Here is a 19,116-nt window from a genome sequence, read left to right on the forward strand (position 1 = left end):
ACGGGATAAATATTAGTCCTTTCCTTCCATCCTTTCCTTGTAAGTTCCTACAGCTATGATAAGCACTATTGGGCTACAAGGGAAGTATAAAGGGCAGTTGATACCCTTAAGGAACTTATAATCTAGTTAGACACAAGGATGTAATGTACTTGGTAAGCATAAAGGACAATATTAATATATTCTTAATATAATGAATATAATGATGTCAATTACTAATCCCACTGCTGAGTGAAGAGGAGGCAGGTGATATAGTGAAATGGTTAAAAGATTTCAGGTTTTGAAATCTTTGGACTTGGGTTCTAGCACCAGTTTCCCCAATTACCAGCTGTGTGACTCTGGGGATGTCACATAATGTTGCTAAGCCTTAGTTTCTTTATATTTAAAATGGGAATAACACTATTTTATCTACCTCATGGGATTGCTGACAACATTGAGTGCAACATGTTAAGTGCCTGGTACAGGTCCTGAAATATAGTATACATTTAAACAGTGGTATTTGCTGAGAGCTTTTTCTGCTTTGGGATACCAGGATTCAAAAAGATCCAGAGCTTTCACCCTACCAGGGTTAGCTAAGTGGCTTGCAAGGCCTCATCTACTGCAGTTGAATAAGGTGACTGCTGAAGCTCAAAGGGCCACTTCTTCATTTACCCCTCTACAGTTCTCCAGTAGACACTTGTGGCAGTACCAGGGACCATGGAGTTAAGGACTCTGCCTCTGCCTTGGGGAGCCCCCAGACTTGCTCCTTTCTTGTTCATAAGGCTAAATATATAATGATCCAGGCCTATAGCCGGGACCCTTTGCAGCCCTCAGGCAGGAGCCATGGCTAGTTGGTCCCAGTGCAGCAATGGGGGGACTCACTGTGATGGAGGAGTAAATAAACTTTTAAAAATAAAGACAATCTTTTAGGGCAGCTTGAAGTTCACAGATAAATGGACAGGAAGGTTCAGAGATCTTCCATATACCCTCTGCTCCCACACATGCACAGCCTCCCCTGTTATCAACATTTCCTCACCAGAGTGATACATTTCTTTCAATTGATGAATCGCTACATTGACACACCATTATCCAAAGTCCACAGTTTACGCTAGGGTTCACTCATGGTGTTGTACATTCTATGGCTTTGGGCATATGTATGATGACATGTAGTCAACATTATAGTGCCATACAGAGTAGTTTCACTGCCCCCAAAATCTTCTGCACTCTACTTATTCATCCCACCTTCCGCCTAGTCCCTGACAACCATAGATTCTTTTACTATTTCCATAGTTTTGCCTGAGGAATGCAATTTTCATAGCCATTTTGAAACCAACATTTGAAAATCAAAATTCTTTAAACACTGTTAAGCATCACAGTGTTTTGAGAAAATATTTTCAGAATGGTTTTATGCAGTCTGCTTCCCACTGCTCAAAACAAAAGTTTTTTTAGAAAAAAACTTAAAAATCAACATGTCTTAAAAATATTTTTCAAACCAAAACAAATGTCTCAAAAGCTATTTGCAGATATGATGATTGGTAAGATGATTCAGCCCTGAGGAATATTTTCTCTAGTGTTATTCTGATGCTTACATTTTGAGGATTTGATTTAGTCAGATTATTTTCTCAAAACTATATTTATTTTCTATCTATCCTGAAACTCAGCTAACAGACCAAAGAAATTCAAACCTTAAAGCTGCAACATGAAACATTTATTGAATAAATGAATCATTTTTTCCTTTTTGTCTTGGCTACCAGGAAACTCAGAGTTATGTTAGGTAGAGGAAACTGTTTCACCTTTGGTTCTCCCTTTCTCTACATGATTTTCCTATCATTCTTTTGATCTTTATTTATCTGCCCTATTTCTCTGAATTTTTATGTTAATCTGTTTCAAATCGATTTTGGATGTAGATGGAACTACATCTACGGATGAATCTATGGAAAGATGCCCAGTTTCAGTAGTACTCATATAAATGCAAATTTAAAAATCCACAAAATATTGCTTAACACACATTTGAATGGCAAAGTTATAAAGCCAGATAATATTATGAGCTGATGATGATATGAGAAATCATATATTAAGTTCTGTTGGTTGGAGTGTGAAGTGGTAGAGCCACTCAGGAGAGCAATCTGAAGGTGCTTAATGAAACTAAATATGCATAAACTCTATGAATGAGTTTATAATTCTATAACAGAACCATTAAGGGACATGTGCAAGGGTGTTTATAAAATCATTGTTTGTGATAGCACTGAAAGCAATATAGATTTCTATTACTAAAAGACTGAATAAGTAAAATGTGACATATGCACATGCTAAGAATACTATGTGAAGTCAGAACTCTAGTCAAGATACACATATTAGCTCTAGCTTCCGTAATAAAATGCCATAGACTGGGTGGCTTAAACAGCAGAAATTAATTTTCTCACAGTTCTGGGGGCTAGAAGTCCAAGATTAGGGTGCTAGCATGGTTGAGTTCTGATGAGGGCTCTCTTCCCGGCTTGCAGATGATTGCTTTCTCACTGTGTCCCCACATGGCGCAGAGAGAGAGAGAGAGAGAGAGAGAGAGCTAGTTCTCTGATATTGCTTCTTATAAGGGTACAAATCCCATCATGAGGGCTCTGTAATCATTACCTCATCTAACACTTCCAAGGCCCCGTTCTAACTACCAACACATTGGGAGTTATGGCTTCAACATATGAGTTCCGGGGGGACACAAACTTTCATTCCATAACATTTTGCCCCTAGCCCCCCAAAATTCATGTCTTTCTCACATGCAAAATATATGCAGTCCATCTCAACAGACCCAAAAGTCTTAACTCAGTCCAGCAACAACTCTAAAGTCTTAAGTGCAAGGTATCATCTAAATATCGTCTAAATCATGTATGAGTGAGACTCAAGGTACAATTTGTCCTGAGGCTAAATTTCTCTCTAGCTGTGAACCTGTGGAAACAGACAAGTTATGACTGAACTTGTTTTGTGGTTTTTTTTTTTTTTCACTGGGATTCTGGAAAGGAGATCCTTAGAGGAACAGGGGAGAAATTGGGGATATTTTGCCTAGGGTTGAGAGATGTCTTGGCTGTCTTTAGAAGTCAGAGGATTTGTCATTTGCAGAGACAGAACTGTGCCTTAAAGCTCCAGAGAAAATCCATAGGCCATAGAAATAAGTCTTCAAAGAGATAACATTACTTAATGGTAAAACAAATCAAAAGCACAGTAATATTAATAGTTGCTGCTTACATTTACTGATCACTTACTAGGTGCCACGCTCTGGGTTGAGCATTTTAAATTCATTATCTTAATTTGTTCTCTCAGAGATGCAATGAACTAAGTGTTCAAACCACCTCTTCAAAAAAACTGGCATAAGAAAAAAACAAAATTGACTATATTGAAACTTTGTCCCTAGAATTTAATCAAATTAAAATGAATCTTTTCAGTAGTAGAATTGTTTTTTCCACTAGATTTCAAGGCATGAAACTCCATTAAGACATAGAGCATCATACTATACCAGCATCTACCACCCTTGTGATGATCATTTCCTGAACTCTAAGGACCAGCTCACAGGCTTCCTTGACACTCCAAGTTCTGTCCTCATCCTGGGTGTCCTCAACAATATACACACGAAAGTCCCACCCCAAACACCCTGGCCTCACGTCTCTCTGACCTTTAACTTCTGAGCACCTCAACCACTCCCATTCACTTGACATCACTGGGTGTGGCTTCAACTCCAATATCCCACTGAGGCCCAAATCCCCTGATGAAGGCTGGGTCCATGCCATTTGCTCTTTGGCTTCACTGAGGGGCCAGAGCCCAAGACCTTCCTTTTCTCTTCACTTTTTTCCTTGTCCAGCCAGGATCTTGGAGCATATTTATTTAGTATTGACTGCCTCTTCTTCCCCTTGCCCTCCAATGACCACATCTGCACTATTTAGCCTCAGTTTTGAGTCTCTCCAAACTAATGATTTCTCTGATGTCATAATGGCCACTGTGGGAGAAAGGAGCAGCACCCCAAGTATTGGTACCTCTAACAGTCAGAATTTCCAACCTCAGTTGGTCCTTCTGGCCACCCTGCAATCCTTTCACATGCCCCAAGTCACCTCTTTCTCCAGTTTTTCTCCCATCTATACTCCAAGTTTTTCATCACTCCTCTCAAAGAACAGTCCCTTTCACTCTACCCTCACCGCACCCCATACAATGGCTAAGACTCCTAATTCATAAAGGAGATTGAAGTTAACTTCAGCTTCTTGTCCCCATACCTACAAAGGTCTCTTTGGCTTCACTAGCTCTCACTTCACATTTCTCTTTTAGTTTCAGAAGAACTGGCCCTCATCCTCTAGTTTCTCCACCTTTGCTCTGTACACCCTCCTCTAATTTTCCTCCTCCTATCTCCCCTAGAATCTTGCTTATACTACTATCCATTCTCTTTCCTGACTCTTTATTCCCTCTCTCCCTACCAGTTCCCTAACCTCAGGTTATTCATATGCTCAACTGTCCCTCTTCTTTAGAAATCTTTTCTTGCCACCACTGTCCCCTTCATCTACTATTAAAGCTGCTCTCATCTTTTAAGTCTAAAAAATCAGTGGTCTATACCCAATCTCAGTTTTCTCACTTCCTATTCTTTTTTCAACTCAGTGTGATCAATCATACTACTCCACTGTGCTACATTTACCATGATTACTCTTTAGTCCTGCTCTTACTTTTTATTACAGTTGTATTGAAGCATATAATAAATTGCACATATTTAAAATATACATTTTGATGAGTTTTGACACACGTATACACCCATGAAACTATCACCTCAATCAAGATAATGAACATATCTGTCACCAACAAAAGTTTCGAGATACCCTTTGGTAAACCAAACAGCCCACACACTGTCCCTAAGCAGCCATTGATCTGCTTTTATCAACACAGATTAGTTTGCATTTCCTAGAATTTTATATAAATGGATTCAGACAGGATGTACTCTTTTTTTGTCTGGCTTATTTCACTCAAAATAATTATTTTGAGACTCATCCATGTTGTGCATGCATCAACAGTTTGCTCTTTTAAATTGCTAAGTAGCATCCCATTGTATAAATATGCCACAATTTATTTATCCATTCTCCTGTTGATGAACATTTGGGTTGTTTACAGTTTGTGGCTGTTTTTAATAAAGCTGCAATGAGCATTTGTGGGCTAGTGTATATGCTTTCATTTCTCTTCGGTAAATAGCTAGGAGAAGGATGAATGGGTTGTAATATAGGTATATGTTTAACTTTTTAAGAAACTGCCACATTGTTTTCCAAAGTGGATATACCATTTTATATTCCCATGAGAAATGAATGAAAATTCCAGTTGTTCCACATCCTCACCAACATTGGTATGGTCAGTCTTTTCATTTTAGACATTCTAATGGATGTGTAATGATATCTCATTGTGGTTTTGATTCACATTTCTTTAAGGACAAATGATGTTGAACATCTTTTCATGTACATATTTGCCATTTGTATTTCTTCTTTCGTGAAGTGTCTATTCTAATCTATTGCCTATTTTTAGTGTATTGCTTATCTTCTTATTATTGAGTTATAAAAATTCTTTATATATTCTAGATACAAGTCCTTTATTGGATATGTGATTTGTAAATGTTTTCTCCCATCTGTGACTTGCCTTTTTATTTTACTAATAGTATTTTTTAGGAAACAATAGTTTTTAATTTTGATGAAGTCCAATTATTGATTTTGCTTAAGTCCTCATGCTTATTGTATTCTATTTAGAAAATCTTTGCCAAATGTAAAGTCACTTAGAGTTTCTATTAAGTGTTGTGCTGGAAGTTTTATAGTTTTAGCTCTTACTTTTAAGTCTTTGATCCATTTTGAGTTAATTTTTATATATAACATGAGATAAGGGCTGAGGCCCTACTTTTTTATACGTGATCTTTCCATTGTTTCAGAAGTTTGTTGAAAAAGATTTCCCCATTAAATTGCCTTGCCATCTTTGTGAAAAATCAAATGACCTTATATGTGTGGGTCTATTTTGGACTCTCTATTCTGTTCTATTGATATATAAGTCTGTTTTTATACCAATACTATACTATCTTGATTATTATACCTTTACTATAAATCTTAAAACCAGGCAGTTATTCGTTTTTTATTAAAGTTATTTTTGACACATCTAGGTCCTTTGAATTCCTATGTAAATTTTAGAATCAACTTGTCAATATCTATACAGAAGCCTACTGGGATTTTGAATGGGATTATGATGAATCTGTAGATCAATTTGGAGAAAACTGCTATCTTATCATTATTGAGCTTTCTGATCCATAAACATAACTTTCCATTTGTTTAGGTCTTTTAAAATTTCTTTCAGCAATATTATGTACATGTTTTCCATGTTATTTGTCGAATTTATTCCTAAGTATTTTATATTATTTGACGGTATTGAAAATAATATTTAAAATTTTTCAATTTCCTTTTGTTTGTTGCTAGGGTACAAAAATTGATTTTTGTATATTGACCTTGTATCCTGCAACCTTGCTAAACTCACTTATTACTTTTAATAGCTTTTTTGTAGATTCCTTACGATTTTCTACAGAGATGATCCTGTAGTCTGGGAATAAAATATCTTTGTTCCAAATACATATGTCTTTTATGTGTTTTCTCACCTTATTGTATTGAGTGTGGTCTCCAGTAAAATATTGAACAGAAGTGGTGAAAGTAGACACCCTTACCTTACTACTGAATCTTAGGGCAAAAGCATTCAGTCTTTCAACATTCAGTGTGATATTAGCAGCAGGTTTTCCATTTATCAGTTTGAAGATGCTGTCTTCTATGGCAGGTTTGCATAGAAGTTTCTATTTTTAACACCAGGAATGGACATTGAATATTGTAGAACGTGTTTTTGCTACATTACTAAGATAATTATATGGATTTTCTTTGTTAATATGGTGAATTATTATATATTGACATTTTCAAATATTAATCCAACTTTGCAATCCTTGAATAAATTTCACTTAACTATGATGTAGTATCTTTTAAATGTATTACTGGGTTTGATTTCATAAAATTAGTTAAACATTTTCATCTTCATGCTTGTAAGAGATATTGATATATAGTTTGCTTTACTTGTATTGATTACAACTGGTTTTAGTCTCAGGGTAATGCTGGCTCATAGACTGAGTCGTAAAGTATTCCCTCATCTTTACATTTCTGGAAATGTTTGTGTAGGATTGGTATTATTTCTTTCTTCAATATTTGGTAAAAATGACCAGAAAAGCCGTCTGGTCCTAGAATTTTTTATGTAGAAAGGTTTTCAACTACAAATTCTTTCTTCTTGAGCGAGCTTTGATAGCTTACATCTTTTAAGAAATTTGCTCATTTCATCTAAGTTGTTGAAACTATTAGCCTAAAATTGTCTATAATATTCTTTCATTATCTGTAAAATCTGCAGTGGTATCACCTCTCTCATTCCTGATATTAGTAAATTATGTCTTCTTTCTTTTTTTTCCTGAACAGTCTGGCTAGAGGTTTAACAATTTTATTTATCTACTCAAAAAATTAGCTTTTGGTTTTGTTGATTTTCACAATTGTATTTCTGTTTTACATAATATTTTATTGATTTCTACCCTTAACTTTATGCCCCTCTTTCTCCTTACTTTGAGCTTAATTTGCTTTTACTTTATAGTTTCTTAAAGTGGAAGTTTAGATTATTGATATGAGCCCTTTCTTCTTTTCTAATATAGCCTTTCATAGTATAAATTGTCCTCTGAGCACTACTTCATCTGCAATCTGCAAAATTGGTATTTTGCATTATCATTTTTATTCACTTCAAAATATTTTCCATTTCTTATGAGTTCCTATTTGACCCACGGGTAATTTAAGTGTATTGTTTAGGTTTTTTTTTAAAATATTTGGGAACTTTTCAGATGTCTTTCTGTTACTGGTTTCTAATTCAATTCCATATTGATCAGAATATATTTGTATAATTTTACTATTTTTTTAAAGTATTCAGGTTTGTTTTATGAGCCATAATATGGTCTATCATGATAAATGTTCTATCTGTACTCGGAAAAATATTTATTCCAATACTTTGGGTGAAGTGCTCTATAAATGTCACTTCGGTCAATTTCGTTGAAAGCGCTTTTTTAGTCTTTTCCAATCTCACTAACCTTCTACTTTTCTATCATTTGTTGCTACTATAGTTTGGATATACCTCCAAGCCTCCTGTTGAAATTTAATCCCCGATGTTGGAAGTGGAGCCTAATGGGATGTGTTTGGGTCATGGGGGCTGATACCTCATGAATAGATTCATGTCCTCCCTGAGATGAGGGAAAGTGAGTTCTTGCCCTCTTAGTTCCCACAAAAGCTGGTTTTTAAAAAGAGCCTGGAACCTCCCCACACCTTGGTTTCTCTCTTGCTATGTGATCTTTGTACTTGCTGGCTCCCGTTCGCCTTCTGCCATGAGTGGAAGCTCCCTGAAGCCCTCATCAGGAGCAAATGCTTGCTCCATGCTTCTTGTATAGCCTGCACAACTATGAGCCAAATAAAACTAATTCCTTTAAAAATTCCCCAGCCTTAGATATTCCTTTATAGCAACACAAAATAGACTAAGACAGAAGGGTAGTGAAATCTCCAACCATGATCGTGGATTTGTCTAAGCTCTATCAGTGTTTGCATCATGTATTTTTGAACCTCATTATATAAGATTATTATGTATTTTTAATGAATTAACCTGTTTAACATTATGAAAAGACCCCCACTGGTCTGAAGTCTACTTTGCATGTATTGATATAGCCACTTTAGCTTTCCTGTGTCCATTGTTAGCATGGTTAACAGGTTTGTTTCAGTGCTTTTAAATATATTTTTTTTCTGATGTCTTATAACTTGCATCATTTCCAATAAGAAATCTGCTGTCTTTCTTATAATTGTCCCTCTTTAGGTAATGTGTCTTCCACCACCCACCTAACCCACCCCACTCCCAGTCCCCTTGTACTGGCTTCTTTTAAGATTTATCTTAAAGATAAGATTTTATCTTTATCACTGATTTTAAGCAATTGGGTTATGATGTCCCTTGGTGTAGTTTTTCACAATTTTTATGCTTGGGATTTGTTGAGATTCTTAGATTTGTGGGTTCATAATTTTTATCTAATTTGAAAAATATTCAGCCATTATTTCTTAAAATATTTTTTCTGTCCTCCCTCCTCCTTTGATGACTCTGATTATGTCTATGAGGCTGATTTCAGTGGTCTCACAGCTCATTAACACTATGTTGACATTTTTTATTTTTCCTCTCTTTGTTTAATTTTCAGGCTTCTAACGTTATGTCTTCAAATCCAGTAATCTTTTCTCTGCAAGTTCCTTTTTCACCATTTACCCCATAAACACTGATGTTTTATCAGGGATCATTTTTATGCCACCTTTTCTTCTCGCTCTGCACACTCATACACTTCTAGGGCTTCAGTTACCATTTTTATTTTGATCACTGCCAAAACTGTATCTTTAGACCAGACCATTCAGTATTCTAGTATTTCTGACTGCCTATTTGACATCTTCCCCTGCTTAACCCTGCACTTTAGCTTATATAGAAACTATTATCTCCTCCTGTATGTTTTATCACAGTAAATAGCAACACAAAACAACTGGTTACCCAAACATGAAACATGGGTCTCATTCAAGATCCTTTTTGAAGGCTTATATATTGTTTTAGGCATTTATGTATACCTAGGTTTCTAGCACAATGCTTAGCATATTAAAATGCTTAGTAAATGTTTATTGATGTATAAAGTTATTTTTCCATGGGTTTAAAATTTGTAAGATTCATGGTAGGATTTGAATCTAGATTTTTATGAATTTAAATCCTTGTTTCATCCACCACGTGATATTATCTTCAAGGTAAATAGTCCAATTCCTTAAATCTTTATTTCTTGAAATTTCTCCATTCTTGTACAGTCTTTCCATGTGTATTTTAAAGTATGAGACTTTTAAGTCTGGAAATCTATAGAAAGTGTGGAAGTTTGTATTTTCCAAAGACAGCTACAACAATATGTCATATTCTATATGCTGTTTTGCAATGCCACTACCCCATCAAGAAGTAGAGTCTATTTCTCTAACTTTTTGAGACTGGATGGGACCTGTGACTGCTTTTACCAATAAAATACAATAGAAGTGATGCTGTTACAGTACTTGGAATAGCTCTTAACTGCTCTGGAAATTTTCACTGATTTCTTGAAAGCCAGCCAACATGTGACTACCCTAAGACCATCAACGCTATGAAAAGCTCAAGTCATATTGAGTGGGCCTGGAGGATGAGATGTCATATTGAGGTGGGGTACAAGGTTCCAGACCTTGAGGACATGTAGGTGCAGAAGCGATCTTGAAAGTGGAGTGTCCAGTCCCAGCCCTCCAGCCAACTCCACATGAATGAGAAACAAACCACTAGGCAAGGCCGTCTCAAATTCCTGATCCATGAAATAATGAATAACATAAAATTGTTGCTTAAGACCACTAAATTTTGGATGGTTTGTAGCACAACAACAGATAAGCAAAATGGAAGAGAAGGAAATATGACTAACATGCCTATAATCATGGAAGGTTTAGATCAAAATCTTTTTCTCCTAAGCCCCAAAATACCAAGAAAAGGAAGTCAACCTAGAGGGTAGGAAGATTGAATAAAGACATATAAGAGACTTCCTTAATACCCTCATCAGGAAATAAATACATAGAGATTGATACACCCTTGAAATGGTAAAGAAAAACTATGTATGATTTCCAAACAGGAAACAAAAAATAGAATTGCTTTTCAATAGTACAGATGGCAAAGAGCAAGAAGAAGATCTAGCTATTTTGGAGGGCAGAAAGAGTATTCCCCAAAGTCATGACTAGCTTGAATAATGGGTTAAATATAAAAGAATTTAGCAGTCATTAATGAAAAGTGAGGCAATTGAGTTCAACCTGCATATGTATACAAATAATTAAAATGACCAGTGAGAAAATAATTTAGGTGCCAGTAACTGCTCAGAGATAATAACTTCTTAAACCACATTATTAGAAGTGGAAAATTCCAAATGAAGAAGGCTGATCAGCTTTTTTTACTCAGAAAAAAACCTGGAAGATTGTCCTCAGTTATGTGAGCAATTGGGAGAATTCGAGGACACAAAGCCATACCACGTGGAGGAACTGTTGACTTTTTAGGTCTGTGTCAACCACGAAAGTCTTTGAAACTATATATTTAGATGCATTCTTGAAATTCTGAACGTCTCACGCAATTCCTTAATACCTAGTCCCAGCCTGGATCCACTGTAATGGTGTTCTTCAAATCTAACTTCATAATACTCTAACAGGGTCTGGAAAGGCAGAGCCCAGAGGGAGAATTGCTTCTGGGCTTTCTCATTGCAAGATTTGATTAAGGCAGGCTTTCCCGTAAGACTTCTGAGGTAGACTGGGGTGGGTCTTGTTTGGATGTCCCTGTTATTTCACAAACAGGAAGGATTTCCAATTTCCCACTTAGAAAGAAGAACCAGCAGGCCTGGGGTCAAGGTCAGTTGGACATGACTTCACCAGAGTTTTGCCCCGTGTGCTTGCTTTGTGATGTATGACTCATCATAATTAAATTTTGAGCTAGATTAACTATAATTCCTGCACTTATTAGGCGATCAGTGTTTAAAGCCCTTGTAAAAGAGGATGAGCTGCTCATTCTGATAATGCAATTAACTACCCAACAGAGCTAATATTTTATTTTAGGGAAGAGTAATTTTTGATTAATGATGCATTTTATTTCCCAAATCCCTGCAGCAGTGGGTCACATCTTTGGTGAGAAAGCCAAAGAAAAAGGGTAAAATTAGAAAACTTGGAGTGTTTGGAGGCAGATTAGTGTGGATTCTACAGAGCTGGCTGCTCTCTTGGAGCCCACTCCCAATTCCTGAACTCCTGCTCTCTTAGGTTTACATGTACCTCAGGATTCTCCACAGCAGAATACACCTCAAGAATATTTTTGGGGAGCATAAATCTCCCTTGTTCCAATTTCTTCTTACAGAAACAGGACATAACATCAGCATTTCTGAAGTTCTTTGGCTATGAGATGCTATTTAATTCCATTATTCCCAGAGCAAGATCTATGTGAAGAGAGGACTGGTTGAGAGGGATCCAGAGATGCTTCCTGGAAGAAGTGATATTTGAAAAGAGTACTGATTCATGGCTTGTGTGAGAATTGGGGCGCATTATTTGGGGTCAAGGACATCAGTTAGAAGGCTATTTTAGGAATCCAGTTGAGATATCAGCAGGGAGATAAAGAGAAGCAGACATAGTCGGCTAATATTAAAGAAGTAGAAATTTCAAGACTTGCTTGTTGATTAGATATTTAGGGGACAGTGGGTGGAGAGTGTCAAGAAAAAGGTCTAGGTGCCTAATTTGCATGATGAAGCATATGATAGTAGATTAGGTGGAAAAGCATGTTTGTTTCTTCTAGAATGGTGGAAGAGATTTCTTCTAGAAGTTTATTTCTTCTAGAATGGTGAAAGAGATTTCGAGTTGGAGTTAACTGTGGTACATCAAAGTGGAGATGTACAATGAGGCAACTGGATTTGTGGGACATGGACTCAGAAAAGAGAAGATAAAGATTTAGAGGTTATTGGCAAAGAAGTTGCAACCATGAGTGTGGACCACATTGCTCAGGAATGGCATCTTCAAATTAGACTATGAGAAGAGGACCAGGAACTAAACTAAAAAAGACTAACTCCAAAGAAGTAAGCCAAGGAGGAGCCAGGAAGAAGACTGAGCAGAAATAGGTATCAGTGGCTTTAACTATGGGGAAGTGAGGACCACTGAAGCAAAGGGCAGGAAAAATACCTTGAACAAAATGAATCTGCATCCTCAACAAGTGGAATTCATGGGAGATAGGCTGAGGATGACACTACAGGTTTAAAGTTTAGCACAAGTAAAGGCATAGAAGGTGAACTGGGGAAGGTGCCAAGGCCAAAATTTCAGTGAACAAAATTGAGCATTTTCCAGCATGGAGATTTCTCAAAGAACTAAAAATAGAACTACCATTTGATTCAGCAATCCTACTACTGGGTTTCTCCTGAAATGAAAATAAATCATTATTTTTTTAAAATGCCTGCACTCACATGTTTATCACAGCACTAGTTACAATAGCAAAGTCACAGAATCAACCTACATGTCCATCAACGGATGACTGGATAAAGAAAATGTGGTGTATGTATACACCATCGAATACTACCCAGCCATAAAAAGAATGAAGTCATGTTTTTTTGCAGGAAGATGGATGGAACTGGGGGCTATTATCTTAAGTGAAATAGCTCAGTATCAGAAAGACAAATACCACATGTTCTCACTTAGAAGTGGGAGCCAAACAATGGATACACATGAACATACAGGGAGAAATAACAGACATTGGAGACTTCAAAAGGTGGGAGAGTGGGAGACGGATGAGGATTGAAAAATTACGTATTGGCTACAGTGTTTACTCTTTGGGGGGATGGGTACACTAAAAGCCCAGACTTCACCACTAGGCAATATATGCATGTAAGAAATCTGGACTTCTACCCCCTAAATATATAAAAACAATTTTAAAAAACCAAAATTGAGCACATTTTCTCTGAAAGCAACTTGCCATTATTTGCTACCCTGCCAAAAAGACTTAGTGTGGCTTTCCCTCTTTTGGAACCAATGTAAGCATCACTATTTTTTCCCTTGGCCTGTGGATCCGAGGGAGCAGCGTCCATCCTTTGTGCCTTCCTCAAATCCTTCCTGCACAGCCACTGCTGGCCTCTGAGAAGGATGGAAACTGATGCTGGGCCCACAGTATTCCAAACTTACCATGATCTGGCCCAAATATATATTCCCATCTTATCTTTTTCTTTCTTGTATCCAATCCCAGCTCCATCAAAATAGAATTATTCACTGATTCCCTTCTAATCCGTCTGGTTTCTTACCACTGTGCCTATATCATGCTGTTCTCTTCCTGGCAGTCCCTACACCCACCCAGCTCCTATTTCTTCAAATTCTACTCATCCTTCCTTGGTCAGTTTCATATAGCATGAAGTCATCCCACATCCCCCAAACAGCAAACAGATCTGAATCTTTTCTCTAGGCTACCAGAGCATTTTACTCTTTCATGGCATGAATCCTACTTTGCTATGTATTTGGAATTAGCCATGTCTGTTTTAAATTCCTCCCTCTTAGACCATGATGAATTCCTTGAGGCTCTGGACCATATCCTGCCTTTCTTTATATCTTATCCATCAGCACTAAGCACAGTGCCTGGCGCATATGAAATATTTAATAAATGCTTATATACTGAATAAATGAATGAAGAAATGAATGAAGAAATGATTCGTGGAAGAGCCCAGTGATAATCTCAGACAGAGAACTTTCTCTTATCTGGCTTCCAGATTCCAAATGGAGTCTTATTACAAGTCGTGGATCTTGTCTTATTCCAGTAAGAAAAAGGTTTTGCAACCATGTCATGTTGAATCTCTCAATGGTCATGTGCATAGTTACTCATTTTCTGTGTTTTCCTTTCTCCATATCCAACTGTAAGCTAATGCTATGTTATAGGAGAAAGAGCCTGGCTTGGGTATGGGATAAAGTTGGATTTGAATTCTGATACTATCTTTTACTCACTCTCTGTGATTCTAGAACAGGTCACTTGCCCTCTCTGTGTTCTGTAAACAGGAGTGTCCATCTCTGACTTGCCTCCCTTCCAATACTGCTGTGAGGCCCCAGAAAGATACGGAATATACAGCTTCTTTGCAAACCATAGACTCTGGGCATAGGTGAGGAATTATCATAGTGAGGTAATTAATATGGCTTGAAAGAAGGAAATGTAGATCCTGTCCTGGTTGGACCAGGCTGCATTTTTAGTCACTATGCTGGCTCTTGCAGAGCTCTGGGACATGGCTTTGGGTTATGTAGATGACACTTGTTAATGACAACAGTCTATAGGGGGAAAAACTCAGTTACGCTGGGGAATCCAAGGTAGCTAGATTGGCTAGTGGCAAGCAGAGAACAGACTCTGCCTGGAATTGGTAATGAGATCGCCGAAATGGAAGAGAAAATTGAGCCAAAGTGTAAATGTTCAAGCAGTTTAGGGAAGGGGTGTGTGTGTGTGTGTGCATGCATGCATGCACACATATGTCCGATGGGGAGCAGGGGTCTTTAAGAGCAATGAGTCTTGTCATTTGCATAATAGCTCTTGACAATTTGCAAAGCATTATCATAGCCACCATCTCTGAGGTCAGAGAACAGTATCTCCTTTTCCAAGATAACTTCAACTAGACCACCATCTTAGTCTTGACCTTTCCTTCCCTTCCTTTCTCTTCTCTTCCCTTTTCCTTCCCTTTGTTTTCTTTCTCTTCCCTTTCCTTCCATTTCTTTTCTTTCCCTTTCTCTCAGTCAATATCTCCATCCAATCTCAGTTCCCTGAGGATGGTTGTAGAAACTGAGTCTCAGAGAGTGAGAGGAGCAGAGATGGAACATGAATTTTAGGCTGATGCCCTATTTTTCTTTAGTATTTACCTTTTTTATTGTGTATAAAACCAGTAAAGCCCATTGTAAAATGTTTGAGAGGAGAGGAAAACCCAGACACGTATGAAGAAGAAAACGTCAGTCATCCATAATGATCAATATTGGGTCCATATTTCCTTCCAGCTTTTTTTCTATGCAATTTGACATGCTTGAGATTCTGCTAAATGTAAATTTATAAATTCCAGTATACTTTCCACTGCATCATGATCTGTTGGTTTCCTTTTCTACACTAGGCATTGCCTCTTCCAAACTTCTGTAGCCTTTAAAGCCCCACTTGTCAAATAGGGTGTGTAGTAATGCCCCCTTGGCTTCTTGCAGCTGAAGTGAGAATCCTTTGAGATTCTAAGGGCAAGGGTATTTTGGAAATCTCAGCATGTGATTTGTGGAGGGGGTCTCAAGTGCAGGGTTTGGGGTTGAACAGCAATAGCCTACTCTGGCTCCTTCTCAAGTAAGCGCCCCTGTCCACTCACTGGAGATGAATGTTTCCAGGAGCCTCCCTGCTAAGCACTCCTTTGAGCAGTCTGGCTATGTCTTCACCCTCTCATCCTTTCCCCCTTTGTCCTTTCTCTCCTGTCTCCACTTCGACCTCAAGTGACCCTTAAGCAATAACCTGCAATGGTGAGTGGGATTTGATGATATTAAATATAACTTGAGAGCACAAGCAGGACATCTTGTACTTTTCCAAACTCATAGTTTAAAAAACACATAATAACATTTATTCTCTCATATTTGTTTTTGTCGCTATTGGGTTAATTCTTGTTCTGCAGATGTTTGTGTTACAAACTGACTATTCTTAGGCTGGGCGTGGTGGCTCACACCTGTAGTCCCAGCACTTTGGGAGGCCGAGGCGGGTGGATCACCTGAGGTTGGGAGTTCGAGACCAGCCTGACCAACATGGAGAAACCCTGTCTCTACTAAAAATACAAAATTAGCCAGGCGTGGTGGTGCATGCCTGCAATCCCAGCTACTCAGGAGGCTGAGGCAGGAGAATTGCTTGAACCCAGGAGGCAAAGGTTCTGGTGAGCTGAGATCACACCATAGCACTCCAGTCTGGGCAACAAGAGAGAAACTGTGTCTCAGAGAAAAAAAAAAAGAAAGAAAGAAAAAGAAAGAAAGAAAGAAAAGAAAAGAAAGAAAGAAAGAAAGAAAAGAAAAGAAAGAAAGAAAGAAAAGAAACTGACTATTCTTAATGTATCTGTAGATGAGAGAAACTGAAAAAAAGAGATCCCAATAGTAAGAGTTAGAATATGCATGGAATATTAACTTACTGATTAATGGATTTTAATCTATTATTATCTTATACTTTCAGTAGTGGCAAGTTCTTCATTGAGGGAGGTGGAGAGGTGTGATGGTTACTGGTGGCTTAGTCTCCTGGGAACTTAGCTCACTGGGGATGCCAGATCAATGCATCCTTGATGTGGGTTTCTGACATTGGAGTGAATAAGGTTCTGATGATTAGGTGACCTGAGGAGGGAAGGGAAAAGAGTGTTTCTCTCTCCCAGCTACTCATGTCTTTGATCAATAAAACTGTGGTTATGTAGCTACTCATATTCATTTTATACATCAAATATTAATCCCATAGCACACAGCAGTATTTCTCAATGTGTGATCTATAAATTATCCATATCAGAAGCACTTTAGTCGAGGCCTGGGGGTCTGCATTTGAAAAGTATCCCAGATGATGCAGATGCACACCAAAATCTGATCCCCAATGCTCCAGTCTCTCAAGTACTCTGTGAGAAAAAAAAGATGCCATGGTTAGGGAAGTTTCGAACACATTGCCTACTATATCCACCTCTGAAGAGGTTCATAATGCACATTAGCATATTAAAAGCTCTGAAAAATCTTTCAGTAACAGAACAATCTTATGTCCACTAACATAAGATTAATTAAATTATGATACACATACAATAAACTCCTATACTGTATTTTTTTAAAATGAGGTAGCCCTCAAAGAACTAACAGGCAGCTTGGTGTAGATGTTAAGAGCATAGATTCTGGCACCAGATAGACCTGAACTCAAATCCAACCTCTGCCATTAAATAACTGTAATCTTAGGAAAGTCCTCTGAGCTGTTTTCTTTTCTCTACAGTGGGAATAATAACAATAGTCTTCATCTCATGGAAGTTATTATGAGTTTTAACTGAATGAAAATATGAAGTATTTATAGAATTGTATTTGGTACGTGGAAAGTGTACAGTAATTATTAGCTCTTATGATCACTGACATGGGAAAATGCCCATGATATATTGTTAAATCAAAAGCAAGGCCAAGAACAATACATATAGCTTGCTTTCATTTGTGTTAATAAATTGTACATCATAAATAATTTCAAAGATAAGTGTGGAAGGATACTCAGTATTCTGTTAACAGTGATTACCTTTGGGGTTAGGTACTGGGAGGGAGGAACGCTGTCAATTTTCACTTTACATACTTTGGTAAGTTTTTTTTGTATTTTTCTCCCCAGCTTTATTAAGAGGTAATTGACAAACAAAATTGTATATATTTACAATGTACAATGTGACATTTTGATATATGCCTACATTGTGAAATGATTGAATCAAGCTATTTAACATATCCATTACCTCACATAGTTAGTATGTGTGTGTGGTGAGAATATTTAAGATATACTCTTAGCAATTTTCAAGTATACATTATTAATAACTGTAGTCACTATGCTGTAGAATAGATCTCCAGAATTTCTTCTTCCTAACTGAAACTTTATATCCTTTGACCAACATCTCTCCATTTCCCCTCCACCTTTTGTTTTTATTTATTTTTTAAAGATAACACACATCAGGGAGATAAAAGGAATTTTGCCCAGAATGGAACCCAGTATGGCCTGGATAATGGAAAATAATCAAGTGTTAGCACGGTTCTCTCTTGTTTCCAGAGAGGCACATTCAGCTACATTTAGCTTTTATTGTTTAAATTTTTTTATTTTTGCCAGCCTCACCATTCTTCTGACTCATCCAGCTGTCTGCCTACTGATCTCCTCTGCCTTCTGTATGCTGACGGCTGCTCTGTATATAAGCCTGTCTTTGTACATGTGAATTTTGAATTCCTAATGCTGGACATTGCATTTCACAGAGGTCAGCCCATGCTCCAGCCTACTGAGATTGTTTTGGATCCTGAGTCTCCCATCCAATCTGTTAGCTAGATCCTCTAGCTTCCCAGCATCCTCACTCTCAGAGAGCATGCCATCTGTCTGAGCTGTTGGATAAGAATGGTGACTTGACTGACACTGATGTAAAGATCTGTGACCTATCACTAGAGACACTGATCCACATATCAGCAGCCACCTGCTACCTCTGGTGTCTCACCTGCAGTCTGTATTTCTTCACTTTATCTATAAAAGGCTCATGAGAGTCTAAGTCAAAAGCCTTGTTAAAATCCAGATGCATCCTGTCTACAGCATTCTCCTGATCTACAAGCCTTGTAACCTTATCAGAAGAGTAAATTAAGTTAGTTCTGCCATGACTTGTTTTCCTAAAGGCCCTACTTAGTGTTATTACTAAAAAAGATTTGATTTGAGCCCAATTGTGGTTTCAATTTAGACATATTTACTGTATTTCCCTACCTGCTCAGTGTCCCTCCCTGTCCCTCCAAGGCTTGCCTGGTGGCT

At 37.5% G+C, this 19,116-nt stretch overlaps 1 long non-coding RNA gene across 1 annotated transcript in view; it reads right to left on the bottom strand.

Annotated features, from left to right (window-relative positions):
• Positions 1–2,439: 2,439 nt before the first annotated feature.
• The window catches only part of LINC01201 (long intergenic non-protein coding RNA 1201), a 41,678-nt gene continuing 25,001 nt past the window's right edge, over positions 2,440–19,116 (bottom strand). The window contains exon 3 of the long non-coding RNA NR_126350.1: positions 2,440–2,492. This is a non-coding gene — a long non-coding RNA (long intergenic non-protein coding RNA 1201). The remainder of the gene's footprint in view (positions 2,493–19,116) is intronic.

Source organism: Homo sapiens, chromosome X (assembly GCF_000001405.40).
Source record: "Homo sapiens chromosome X, GRCh38.p14 Primary Assembly".
Lineage (NCBI taxonomy): Eukaryota > Metazoa > Chordata > Mammalia > Primates > Hominidae > Homo > Homo sapiens.